Source organism: Homo sapiens, chromosome 8, assembly GCF_000001405.40.
Source record: "Homo sapiens chromosome 8, GRCh38.p14 Primary Assembly".
Lineage (NCBI taxonomy): Eukaryota > Metazoa > Chordata > Mammalia > Primates > Hominidae > Homo > Homo sapiens.
The window spans coordinates 85,438,172-85,451,682 of NC_000008.11; the positions used below are offsets into that span (position 1 = coordinate 85,438,172).

Below are 13,511 nucleotides of genomic sequence, written 5' to 3' on the forward strand. Positions count from 1 at the left end.
AGGGCCATCTCTTTAAGGATAACGGACTTGGAGGGCCTCTTCACCCTCTCACCCTGCTCCGGACCCTTTCTTCCCATCCTTTGCTCCTAGGATTTTACATGTTGCCTGCAAAGGGAGTCAAACTTAGGGGGCAGGCAAACAAACGAGTTCTTTCCAGCCTCTGTAACCGGATCGCTAGAGCGAAATAAACTCGCACAAGTGTCCAGAGATCGTAGCCAGACAGCCAGCCTGCGCTTGAAGCAACTTTTAAGTGAGGCTGCAAGAGCCGCCGGGATGTAGATTTTAGTTCGTGGCCAAGCACAACTACGACACCCTGTCCCTGCCCCCACCCCATCCCCAAGAATGCATGGAGGAAGGAGAGAGGACGAGGTGAGGGCCGCCTGCATTTCTGCACGTCGGCGCCGGTTAGAAACCCTGCAGTTTTGAGAGAGAAGAAGAGGAGATGGAGGGGCCAGGAGCCACGACTCCCGGGAGAGCGCAGGGAGGGGCGTGGGTGCCCCTTCGCCCACCTCCGCCCCCGTCACCTCGACAGCTGTCCCGCTCTTGGAATTCATTGGCTTCCTCTACCCGGCCTCCCAAACACCACCCCAATCTAGTTTAGCCCCCCGCCCCACCCTCGCTGACCTAATAAGGCCATGCAGTGTGCGGGGGAGCTACATAAAAGCGCGGGCTCGCGGCGACTCTGCACCACGCAGGGGAAGAGAAAGCAGGAGCCGTCCAGCACGGAGGAAGGCGACCATGGCCAAGGAGTGGGGCTACGCCAGTCACAACGGTGAGTGCAGGCAGCCGCGACCCGGCCAGGAAGGGATGCCAGTCCAGGAGAGCCCTGCCATTGCACAGAAATGGGCAACTTTAGAGACTGCAGTGGAAAATGTAGGAGTAGAATAAGACCTAACATTTACTGAGGCTTTTCAACTGCCAAATGCTGCTGCTTCTTTTTTTCCTTCATCTCATTTGGTTCTCCCTAGTATGGAGTTTTTATTTCCCTTGGAGAAAACTGAAGTGCAGAGAAGTTGGATCACTTGCCTAAGATCCCATTGCCTCTGAGAAGTCAGACAGCCCGAGGTCAGGTGTGACTGGCCCTTATTCTGTTTTACTGGACAAGCACCTAACCTGAGCTTGGTGCCGGTGTGAGAATCTCTGCTCTGCCTAAGCTTCTCCCTAATCCAAGGCAAAGGAACATGGGTGTGCTCTGAAACCCACAACACAATGCTCAAATGTAGGTGGTCAATATTATTTTATTCCAACTCTATGATGGAAGGTGTCATTGGTTAAAAAAAAATGTGATAAAGTTTATCTGAAAAATAAGCCTTTGAGCAGGCAGAGTGAACACACTGAGTTAAATAGTCTCCATGTGTGCTATTCACAAAACTACCAACAGGCCTGAAATGAATGCTAAGTCTCTTATTGCCCAGTCTGAAACCTAAGACCTTTTTGAAATCACTGTCTAGCCTCTCTGTATTTTGCTGGTTTAGTCAATTAGAAAGAGGCCTTGGGTTGTGCCACCAAATAAATACATCTCCTCGACTTTATTTCCTAGGTCCTGACCACTGGCATGAACTTTTCCCAAATGCCAAGGGGGAAAACCAGTCGCCCGTTGAGCTGCATACTAAAGACATCAGGCATGACCCTTCTCTGCAGCCATGGTCTGTGTCTTATGATGGTGGCTCTGCCAAGACCATCCTGAATAATGGGAAGACCTGCCGAGTTGTATTTGATGATACTTATGATAGGTCAAGTAAGTATGACAATGAGGTAGAATCACATGGATGTTTTCAAGGTCCATATTGACAAAATGTGGTTTATGACACAGTACCAGAATTAATGGGGAGAGGGAGCACTTTATCTTTTAAAATGCAGATGACATTTGACTTTGCTTTAGTCATGAATAATTATATTTATGTATTGAAGAGGAATGTCACACCCTCCAAACTTGGTCTCTGTGAAAACGGCCCCATGTCCAAGCTAAAAGTTGGCAATGCATTCCTGAAATGGAACACGATAGGACAGAGATGACAATAAACTCAAATGAGTATTCTTCAGACTCCGATGGCCTATACCTGAGGGTTCTTGTGCTTCTTGTCCATGGTCTGGAGAGCCAGGCTTCCACTCTCAATTGCATAGATTCCATTCTACAAAGCCAGATATACAATAGAAACCCTAAATAGGCACTTTCTTCCCTTGGTGCCTGGGAGGTGACCAATCTAGGGGAGAGAACAGGGCCACTGAAGGTGTCAAGATGACTTGCCTTCAAGCCTTCAGTGGGGTTCATCTGATTAATCATTTGGGTGAGTATTTTTGAAATATCTGACAATTTCTTCTTGAGTAGTAGTTTGTGTGTGAGACAGCGACTGAAAAATACATGTTTAGAAAAAACAAATCTCTTTATTTCACCTACACTAGTAAGCAAATCAGTATAATAAAAGAAGACTAGTCAGAAATACTTTATTTCACGATAAATGAGGTAAGAAAGAATCTTCCTTTAATATTTTGGTGCTTGATATACAGCAAAATAATTCCTTATAGCCCCATCTCTAATAAAGTTATATTTATTGATATACATAAATGAACATTCTTAATGATTTTGTAATGAAGAATGATATTCATAATTCCTACCTACCAGGAGGTTCCAAGTTACAGAAATTTAAATTTTCTTAAACAGTGGTTTCGTATTGCTATTGTTTCCTTTTTTCCCCTTCTCCTTATATATCAAGTACCATTTTGAAAGCAACATAACAAAATTAAACATATCTATTAGGTTGAACCATATGAAAATGCCATTTTTGTGTGCAAAAATAGTTGAATATTGTCAATTTCATATAGTTTCTTCTAATAAATTGGACTCACATGTCCCTATAATAACTGTTCTGAGTGGTTGGACAGGAAAAATGCAATGAATTGAACCACTCCATTTCTACCTGAACAAACTCATATAGGCCTAGCCTCATTGTTTGAGGTCTATATTTATGGCTTTCCCTGGGCCACTTAGTGTGGGCAACCTCTTCTAAAATAGCTATGCTCTGAATTCTATTTTGATCTAGCTTATATTGCCAAATCTTGATCTTAGGGTTTCTGCATAGTTTCCAATATACTTTGGAAGACATTTGAACCTCTAAATCACTCTGCAATGGGTTGAGATGTTTATCAACAAGCCCAAATTAATGCTGCTGAGAATTATCTAGTTTAATCATCCACATTGATTGGTTTTCTGGGAAATTTCTGAATTTTCCATTTCATCTCATTTGAATAGACACAGTCTAAATTAGACGTAGATGAAAGTTTTTGCTCGTTGTCTTGAAGAAAAGTGTAGTTGGAAGCAACACGTGGAGAAGGAATTCACATCTGCTCAGTGATCATCATGCAGGCACTATGATGAGCACTTTAAGGTGCTTAATCTCAGTTAATCTTCACAGCAGCTCTGAAAGTTTGGTATTATTATCACCTTCTTAGAGATGTGAAAGTGGGTTCAGAGAAGTTTAGCAACTTGCCTGAGACCACAGAACTAGCAAGGGGTGAAGCCAGCATTGGAAACCTACCTCCACCTGGTTCTCAACTGTCCAGTTCTTCCCACTGCACCACACTACTGACTTGTTCTTTGGGTGTATGCATCCTCATTGTCTATCTGTTGTTTTAATTTTGCTTTCCTAAATGTTAAAATGATGTTTCAATAATAATGAAACAAGCAAACAAAATAAGAAAGACAGAAAAGAACAATCATTTATCTTGACATATCCCCAGACTTCATTTTGTGAGGAGTCCAGTGTCCTGGGAGTGGCACCATCCACCCAGCAAACTGACCACATTTTGTCCATTAAGCCTTGGCTCTAAGAGCACTTGGTTAAAGTAGAGCTCTGTAAAAGAAGCATGAATTCACTGTTGACCAAGCTTATCTGAATCACAGTGCTGAGAGGGGGTCCTCTCCCTGGACCCTACCGACTTCGCCAGTTTCATCTTCACTGGGGCTCTTCGGATGATCATGGCTCTGAGCACACCGTGGATGGAGTCAAGTATGCAGCGGAGGTAAGAGGAACTGCCATAATCCATTCTCGGTCTCATACAGTGAAAACTGCAAAATTAAAAATAAGAACCACAGCAACAAAGCATCATCCACTGCTTTTGTTTCAAGTCTATAGTTATGAAAAGAGCTGTACTAGTTTTAGCTGAACTGAAGCTGCTGAACATTCTAGGCTAGACAGGTAAAAGGGTATAGGTGAGTTGGCATCAAACATGAAGATTTCCAAGGTTATGTTAAGAAACTGGGGCGAGTGCAGTGGCTCACACCTGTAATCTCAACACTTTGGGAGGCTGAGGCAGGTGGATTGCTTGAGCCCAGGAGTTCGAGACCAGCCTGGGCAATATGGTGAAACCCTGTCTCTACAAAAAATACAAAAATTAGCCTGGCATGGTGGCATGCACCTGTGGTCCCAGCTACTCAGGAGGCTGAGGTGGGAGGATCACTTGAGCCTGGGAGGTCGAGGCTGCAGTGAGCTGTGATTGCGCCACTTCACTCCAGCCTGAGCAACAGAGTAAGACCCTGTCTCGAAAAAAGAAAAACCCTAAAAGTTAGAAATTGGATAGCTACTTAATAAGAAAGCCCAGGGTCCTCAATGGAACTGGAAAAAGGATAGCTAATACTTATTAAATGCTTACATGTATTAACTCATTAGATCCTCTTAGCTACCTTATGAGACAGGTTACAGATGAGGAAACAGAAGGCATAGAAAAGACACATAATAAAGTCACACGGCTGGTGAGTGCTAGTGCTCTACCTGATACAGACTGGCTTCAGAATTCATCATCTTATCCAGTGCCCTATACTGCCTATTTTATAAGAATATAGTGCTCTAAAAATAGCATTTAGAAATTCTGAATAATGCTTATGTTCCAATCTCTTAATGAACCGTGTGCATATATATGTGTGTGTGTATATCTATATATACACATGCATACATATTTACACACACGTAGAGATATGTGTACACACATACCATTTAATCTGAGCACATACTACTCTCTGTCTCAGTTAACTCATTAAAGAAAAACATGAATTTTAACTCAGATCAACGCATCAAATTACAAGGGTTTAAGACAGGCCTCTGACATGTTCTCTTTATAAAGCCAAACCAATAAGTGGTGGCAATTGCCTTGGAGGTGAGGACCAATTCATTTTTCCTGCTTTATTCTTTTCCAAAGATAGGCTCTGGTTAACATAGGGGCTGTGACAGAAGCTCAGAAACACACTATGAACATGTTCTTAAGCAGAATCATTAGGCATCTTAGTTCTTGGTTAAATTAAATTCTGTGAAACCCAAAGTACTTCACTGTGATCTTTCTGTTTCTTTACAGCCAATCTAGAGAGCCATGGCAAGATAAATTAAGTATTGAGAATGCCTTCTAGACATCTTCCCCAACCAAATGGGGAAAGTTGAGTATATTTCTTACAGATGCAGGCAAGGCTTTCAGTTTGACCTTTGCACATGGGATTATTTCATACTTTTGGTCTTGAATAAAACATTTTTTAACTGCTGCAAATGATTGTATCCTCTTGCCATTCTCTGTAACTCAGCATAGAAAGTTTGATTAACCTAACTGGTGCTCATGTTCTAAATTAAGGTCAGGTTGCCACCAGGTTTCAGAGCTCTGGTTGATAAAAGGAGATAAATAAATAATTTTATATGCTTTTTATTTGAGCCACTAGAAATGTTACCAAAATGTTACATGCTACTCTTTCAAATTTTCTCAGCTTTTATGAGAGTGCTCAGCAACCTTAGCCTGTACAATGATTGGGTTTATTGTGGATAATGTTGTACTTATTTCCATATTCCAGGAATTTACCTTCTAATCTGTCTTCTATGGTTTCAGCTTCATTTGGTTCACTGGAACCCGAAGTATAACACTTTTAAAGAAGCCCTGAAGCAGCGCGATGGGATCGCTGTGATTGGCATTTTTCTGAAGGTAAAGTAAAAATTGACTATATATTTTCTTCCAAAATGTATTTCCCTGCCAATGGTTAGCATAGTTTGAGTTTCATTTCCTCATTTTTACCTTCCTCCTTTCATATGCATTTTATTATTCATTCAACTAATCAAGATATTTCTGCAAAGATCAGCTCAAAATGTCTTACTTTTCTCTAAAAGTGTATCTTTTACCACACTCCAGGACCCCTAGCACTTCTAAATTTTCCCCAGATGTGGGAGGTGTGTGTGTGTGTGTAGGTGTTGGGGACAGAGCCTTAGAGTGAGCTTATTACGGTGGTGGTAAGGGCAAAGGTGGCATATATTTATTTTCCTTTCTCACTGCTCAACTTCAATTGCACTGGAAACCAGAAAAGTCAGTGTTGGGAACCATATGATTCCAAGTCCCTGGCTGGACATCCCCTCGGCTTGAGGTGGTCACCACTCACGTGATCCCAGGCTAAGATAGCACATGGAATGTGTGTGTTGTTGAGCCAACCTTGCTTTAAAGAGGACTTAGTGTCATTAACACATGAAGTTAGTGGTAACATAATCTAGATTTCAAGCCAGAGGTGAAAATCTGGCTTCTTTCTCTTTGAATGACCTAATTTGTTTTAGGTTCTTAATTCATTGGGTCATTTTTGGTACCTGAGCACAGAACAGCAGGAGGTGGAGTAGGTCTGAGAAGAAAGACAATGAGTTTAGTTTGGGATACATAGGGTCCATTTTGGTTCTAAATCTGGTTTTTAGAAAAGTGGAATGACTTTGCAGAGAAGGTCAAAGACACAGAACTAGATGAACGTGTAATTTTGTGGTCCTGTACTTCAGAAGCCTGGAGTCCAAATTTAGATCAGAAAATATATACTCTAAAATCTTGAGGAAAAATAAACTTATGTTTTTGCTTAGTACGAGATATTCTGGCAGATTTATAAACACTAGTTGCAGATGGATGGATCAAAATCAGCTTTGAAGACAATCCTAAACTATGGAGAAGTAAAAGAACTATACTTGGATTTCTGTTTTCTTACAGATAGGACATGAGAATGGCGAGTTCCAGATTTTCCTTGATGCATTGGACAAGATTAAGACAAAGGTAAACAAAAATCATTTTCCCTCCTAAAACATAAAGCAGATTATGCAGATTTTCTTTACATATTTTCAAGTATTTTTTTCACCTAAAATCTGTTACTAAGTTTGATGGATATGCTAAGCATACATATAAAAATAAATGCTATTATATTTGTATGGCATACAGTTTTTAGAGCAATTTCACATATATCAGTTTTTTTAATGGTCATAGTCATCCTGTCAGATAATCACTTTCTCAATGGAGTAAGTGAGAGTCAGAGAAGTTGAGTGGTCACCGCATCCTCGCCCAACACACACACACACACACACACACACACACACACACACACACTGCATATATGCATGCATACCATCACGGAGCTACTAAATGTCAGCCAGTGCTGGTCTTTTGAGTCTTGGTGATGAGCTTTCTGGGAAGCACTTAAAAATTTAAAATCTTCACAATAGACTCATGTAAGTAACAGAAACATTTTAATTATTTTTTTTCTGACCGTTCTAATCAAATATTATTGAGTTTCATTAACAGAGAAAGTAAGCATTCCAAGTAGATCATTCAATAAAAATACAAGCCTGATATTTTTTGGTATCATCAAGAACAAAACATTAACTTATATTAAATAATTCAATTACACTTGAGATATCAGTTTCTCCTTTTTCTTGAGTGATAGAATTATCACAGATAGTTCTACTCACAGCTAAAACACTAAGGAACACAGTATGACAGTGATTGTGTCAGATCAAGTAATAATGTGCAAACCAGCTTCCCTGCTTTGATCTTTATTTCTGAAAGGCTTATACTTTGTTTAGAAGTTCTATTTTCTCTATTGCATTTGAAATTCATTCTTACAAATAAAGTGGTGAGGGCATTGGGGTGGGTGGGCATGTGCATGCATGCACTCACTGCACCTGCAACCTGCTCTTACCCAGGGCAAGGAGGCGCCCTTCACAAAGTTTGACCCATCCTGCCTGTTCCCGGCATGCCGGGACTACTGGACCTACCAGGGCTCATTCACCACGCCGCCCTGCGAGGAATGCATTGTGTGGCTGCTGCTGAAGGAGCCCATGACCGTGAGCTCTGACCAGGTGAGCAGCCTTGTGAACACGTGGGCTTATGTTGCTGTCTGCCTATGTAAGATACAGATGCTAAATCAAAAATACATAGCTACTAACTGGATACTCACTGAACAGCTCTATGGCCAGTAATTTCATGGTCTGCCCTGGTTAATTACAACCAGCCTGTTCAGCTTTCTAAAACTTGGCCCCCAAAGGGTACCAGGATAAATGCAACTCATTTAAAAGTAGTTTTGATACCGAACATGACTGAGTTTATGCTCTATAAACACTTTAAAGGGTTTAGATTAATATGAGTCTTTGTTAATTTGGACGTTGCCAAATACTGAGCACTGGTAAGGAGATGGGATGATAAATACAGACCTGGAGAAGAGAAAGGTGCTAATGGAAAGGATTTAACAATTTTGTATGCTATATATTATTTCTGCAGTTTTACAGATACATAATTCAAGGCTCAAAAGTTCAGTAATTTGTCCATGATCACACAGCCAAGTGCAGGATTCTAATCCCACCTCCAAACTGTTTCCAGTACTTTTTGGCATCTCTTCTCAAGGTTCCCTTCTTACTGTTTGATCTAAAGAGTGTCCTGGTAACATTCATTAAAGACACTATCAAGGAAAAGCTGTGTAGGAGAAAATAAGTGGGCAAGAACATGGAGAAAAACAGATTGAAGCAAGTAAACAACACAGGGACTCACAACCTAGAGCATGCATGTACTCTAATAGTAAAATCAGTTTCCCAGTGTGTGTCTCTTGCATAAGGCAACAGCTTTCATATTTATGTCAGTTGTAAACTCAAGTTTATAAAGACATTTTTATTAAAAGATCAGATATAACAACCTTGTTCAGTGATATAACTATTTTGAAAGAATGAAATTTTTTCAAGGAGAAATCTAAAAATATTTTAATATAGAATCATAGTGTTATTAATGAGAATTTCTTATTTTCTTATCCTTTAAGAAAGAAAAGTCAATTTAAAATTGAAAATGTAGCATGAGTTTGATTTCTTTTTGCTCTTAAAATAATTGACTCCATAAACTTATATAATAAAGGTCTACTACATTTTATTTACACTGATATATGGATGTGGTCATCCTCTCCAACAAAGTATGTAGTTCATACTGACCCCTCAAATAAAAAGTAAATGTTTCAGATTCAACAGGAAAAGGTTGTGACCAGAGGGCACAGTGATCCTGTATAGAATGAAGAAAAGGGCTTTACAAATAAAGAAAAAATGTGTGTCACTCTAGAGCTGCTAGCTAAATAGCTCTGGACTGGACACTGGGGACAGGTTGTGTGGTTTGCTTGTCATGTTTAAAACACCAGTATTGGCCAGGCACGATGGCTTAACGCCTGTAATCCCAGTACTTTGGGGGTCCAAGGCGGGTGGATGACCTGAGGTCAGGAGTTCGAGACCAGCCTGGCCAACATGGTGAAACCCCATCTCTACTAAAAATACAGAAAATTAGCCGGGCAAGGTGGTGAACACCTGTAATCCCAGCTATTCGGGAGGCTGAGGCAGGAGAATCGCTTGAGTTCTGTGAGGTGGAGGTTGCAGTGAGCCAAGATCACACCACTGCACTCCAGCCTGGCTACAGAGCGAGACTCTGTCTCAAAAACAAACAAACAAACAAACAAACAAAAAAACCAACAACAAAAAAAACCCCAGCAGTATTTATACCTCTTTGTCACGTAGTGTGTCCAGTTGATCCGAATGTCTTGTTAACAGTCTGCCCCTGCCCTTTGCAGATGGCCAAGCTGCGGAGCCTCCTCTCCAGTGCTGAGAACGAGCCCCCAGTGCCTCTTGTGAGCAACTGGCGACCTCCACAGCCTATCAATAACAGGGTGGTGAGAGCTTCCTTCAAATGAGGCTGCTGGATCTTGCCCTCTTCAGGAAAGGAAACCTACCATTGGAGAGCTTGGTTCCTTGCCTCCTTCTGGTGCTCCTTACTCCAAGTCTATTTCATTTTTCCACACTGAGCAATGAATGTGAGAGATGTGGTCACCAAGATCTAAGTTACTTGTTGAAAGAAAGTTACTTTCGACAAGATCTAATATGAAAGCATAGATTTCACATTTGATCTCTGTAATAATCATCTTTCCTATAAAAGTAGCATTTTTGGTAAAGTTTCAAAGAAGAAGAAACAGAGATGGAAGAGTAAAGATATTTTTAAAATGGCTAGCTATTGGGCACCAGTTTTTCTGTTATCTAAAATTTCACACAACTTCATTGTTTTTATTTTTATATTATGAGTTGTCCATCTTAAAGAAATATGAGTAATTCTACATGTAGTAGAGGTGTATGAAGATCATATAACAATTAAACATAAGCCAGAAATTAAAATGACTATAGACAGCAAGAATTGAGCTAATAATATGTTTTAACTCTTAACACCAGCAAGAAGTCAGTCATTTATTGAAGTTTTAGCTACTAAGATTACTTGGTTTTGATTACCAGTGAAAAGAAAACACAATACAATCAGGAGTTTTCAAATTTTTGATTCAGTATTTGAATTTCTTCTTCATAAATGTAGTTGAATTTATCCTAGTATTTTTCTTTACCTGAAGGAGGGCCATTTATTTTTAATTTCACTACATTTTTCTTTGCATGATTATTAAAATAAAAACTGCCTCTGTTGTGTTTCTCACTGGAGGCTGGAATGAATGATCACTAGAACACAAAAGAGTGAATGATGACACTTGAAGTCAAAGCAGTTGTACTGATCACCAGAACCAATAAAGACATAAATGGAAAACGTTGAGTGTTGTGTTTTTTAAATGGAAAGGCATCATAAATGACAAAAATGGAGTTTAACTAAGAGCAACAAACTTTGTAAGTTTGTTTTTATAGCTGAAGGATGGCACTAAGGGCTGAAATTCTGAGTTTGGATGCTACATTCCTCAAGGAGGGCCAGAAAAAAAATTAAAAAGCAATTAGTGAAGGCCTTCTGAGGAAACTGCAGACCAGAAGAGGAATGTATGGCCATATATCTGATAGTGGGAAATACTTTCCAGAGGCCTCAAAATTGGTTTAGGATTCTGGGGTTCAGACTAGTGCAATGGGTTTTAGGGGCGTGAAATCAAGTCAGACTGTAGCTTTTACATCCATATTTTTAAAAATTGTGCCTTTAGGATGATGCTGGCCTAACACTGCAAAAATCCATATATTTAGACCTTTAAGCCATTTAATATAATATCTTTAGACATAAAGTCTAATTTTGCAGTTAGTGGCTTTGATACGTCTTTCATCACTCACTGGCCAATATGTTAACTTACTTTAGAAAGTGACAGGAATAAGCTCATTACCCTAAGGAATGAAATAATATTGGGTCAGGAGAGTCCTGAGATGCCAGAAGTCAAATCACGTGACAGAGTCCTATGAGGCCAAAGTTATTTAATAGATTACCACCCAGGTGAAGTCAAGCCAGGTTGGTCAGTGTGAACTGGAAGTGTTAATTAAATCCCTCGAAATTAGGAGGTGTGGAGCTTTGATCATTAGTGAAAATACACAAGCTGATTCTCTCAAGGTACTTACTTAGTAATGCTTATGCACTGTAAAAGATGTATCCAGTATTGACTCTATGTGGGGGAGGAACATATGACTTAATGTCAGCTACAAATGGTCCTTATTCCAGTATACAAGCTGAACAAGGTTAGAACTGTTTTGAGGGAAAATGCCCCATCAAAAGAGGCTATCTTCGTAGACCATATGCTCTATGAGGGCACAAATATGCGTCTTGCATGCTGACATTCACCTTGTTGTCTGATACTGTGTCCAGCACATAATAATTAATTAATATTTGTTGAATAAGTGATGTCATGAATGTAGATGAATCCAGGTAAAATACTTACCTTCTTGAACAACACGTCACATGGTTAATAGGAATATTGTTTTTGTTTATCTTAGTTTAAATCTCCTTGGAAAATGATCTCACTAGCTTCAGGTGGGAGCTTTCTAGTAGAACATACTTCTCCCCCTCCCTCCAGTCTGAGTCATTGTCAATGCTCACAATTATCGCCCATCTTAAAATTTCCTCACAGCTTCTCAAAGTGCTGAACTCAGAGTTCTGTGATATGTGATATTATAGATGTCCATTAGAATATTAAAGACATACTGTGTCCTTATTCAGCAGGGGGATCATTTTCCTGATCATAAACAGGCCCTCAAACAATTGCATTTCAGATACACACAGCCTTACAAAGGGGCATGGCCAAGAACTGCTGTGATAAAAAGATTTCAGCATCTGCCAACTTTTGTTCTTCAGGGTATAATCATTGTAGGTATTTTAAAATTTCAAAATAGGGCAGAAACTAATTTGAATTTGTGTTTCATAATATTCCAATGATCATATCATTAAAAACCTATGGATAGAGCAGAATTAACAAGAATTTATCTAACATAGGGTATTGTTGAAAGTATGCAAATATATATTTACATACATATACATATATATTTACATATATTTACATATATTTACATATATATATTTACATATATATATAAAACTTTTTTTTTTGAGATGGAGTCTCACTCTATTGCCCAGGTTGGAGTGCAGTGGTGTGATCTTGGCTCACTGCCACTTCCGCCTCCTGGGTTCAAGCGATTCTTGTTCCTCAGCCTCCCAAGTAGCTGGGATTACAGGCATGCACCACAATGACATGCTAATTTTTGTATTTTTAGTACAGATGGGGTTTCACCATGTTGTCCAAGCTGGCCTCAAACTCCTGACCTCAGGTGATCTGCTTACCTCGGCCTCCCAAAGTGCTAGGATTACAGGCACGAGCCACCGCGCCCGGCCAAGACTAAGGGTGCAAATATATTGTTAATGTAATACCTGCCTTTTAAATGAGCAGACAGGATATATTTATGAAAAGGCAAATAATTTCAGGAATATTGATCCAAAATTCTTTAAACTGTACAGTCAGTGAGTATTTATGTAGATGAGTGAGAAGTATTCTACATAGAACATGCAAAACTGGAGCTCTCAGTGTTTAACCATAATCATTTATGTAATTAAATATAGTTGAAATTGATCAGCTATTAACAAGCTTGGATACATGTGGAAAAATTAATATGACAGTTATTAAGATGAGAATTGGCACAAATAAAATTGGCCTAAGAGAAATACATATGGTCTAAACCCACATCAAAGACCACACATAAAGAAAATTAATTAGACTCTAGGTTCTTTTCTAATGCCTTCTTATCTGATATTAAAGACGATCTCCAGTTATGAGCAAAATATATTATTTTAGCAGAAGAAGAAGAAGTGAGAAGAGGTAAGAAAAATGAATGATAACTGTGAATGTCAGATTTTTAAAATTTCATATTTGAGGTATAGAAATTTAATGATTTTTTTAAAACCTACCCCTAAAGTAGTTCTTAAAGTCTTAAAAT

General features: G+C 39.4%; 1 protein-coding gene and 1 long non-coding RNA gene across 4 annotated transcripts in view, besides 2 other annotated features; one reads left to right on the plus strand and one right to left on the minus strand.

Moving 5' to 3' along the window:
• Window positions 1-524: an enhancer, noted in NCBI's record as "H3K4me1 hESC enhancer chr8:86350401-86350924 (GRCh37/hg19 assembly coordinates)". NCBI's record gives its function as "activates a minimal SCP1, AML or CMV promoter by ChIP-STARR-seq in naive H9 embryonic stem cells {active_cell/tissue: H9 hESC(naive)}" and the evidence as "EXISTENCE:reporter gene assay evidence [ECO:0000049][PMID:30033119]".
• Window positions 525-1,047: an enhancer, noted in NCBI's record as "H3K4me1 hESC enhancer chr8:86350925-86351447 (GRCh37/hg19 assembly coordinates)". NCBI's record gives its function as "activates a minimal SCP1, AML or CMV promoter by ChIP-STARR-seq in naive H9 embryonic stem cells {active_cell/tissue: H9 hESC(naive)}" and the evidence as "EXISTENCE:reporter gene assay evidence [ECO:0000049][PMID:30033119]".
• Window positions 688-10,869, plus strand: CA3 (carbonic anhydrase 3). The gene is made up of 7 exons (NM_005181.4): window positions 688-772; window positions 1,541-1,738; window positions 3,902-4,020; window positions 5,863-5,955; window positions 6,985-7,047; window positions 7,971-8,126; window positions 9,863-10,869. Exons 1-7 carry the CDS (start codon window positions 739-741, stop codon window positions 9,980-9,982), a joined length of 783 nt encoding a protein of 260 aa, NP_005172.1. The 5' UTR covers window positions 688-738; the 3' UTR covers window positions 9,983-10,869.
• Window positions 3,635-13,511, minus strand: part of CA3-AS1 (CA3 antisense RNA 1) — a 23,110-nt gene continuing 13,233 nt past the window's right edge. For all 3 annotated transcript variants that reach the window (NR_121630.1, NR_121631.1, NR_121632.1), the window contains exon 3: window positions 3,635-4,066. This is a non-coding gene — a long non-coding RNA (CA3 antisense RNA 1). The remainder of the gene's footprint in view (window positions 4,067-13,511) is intronic.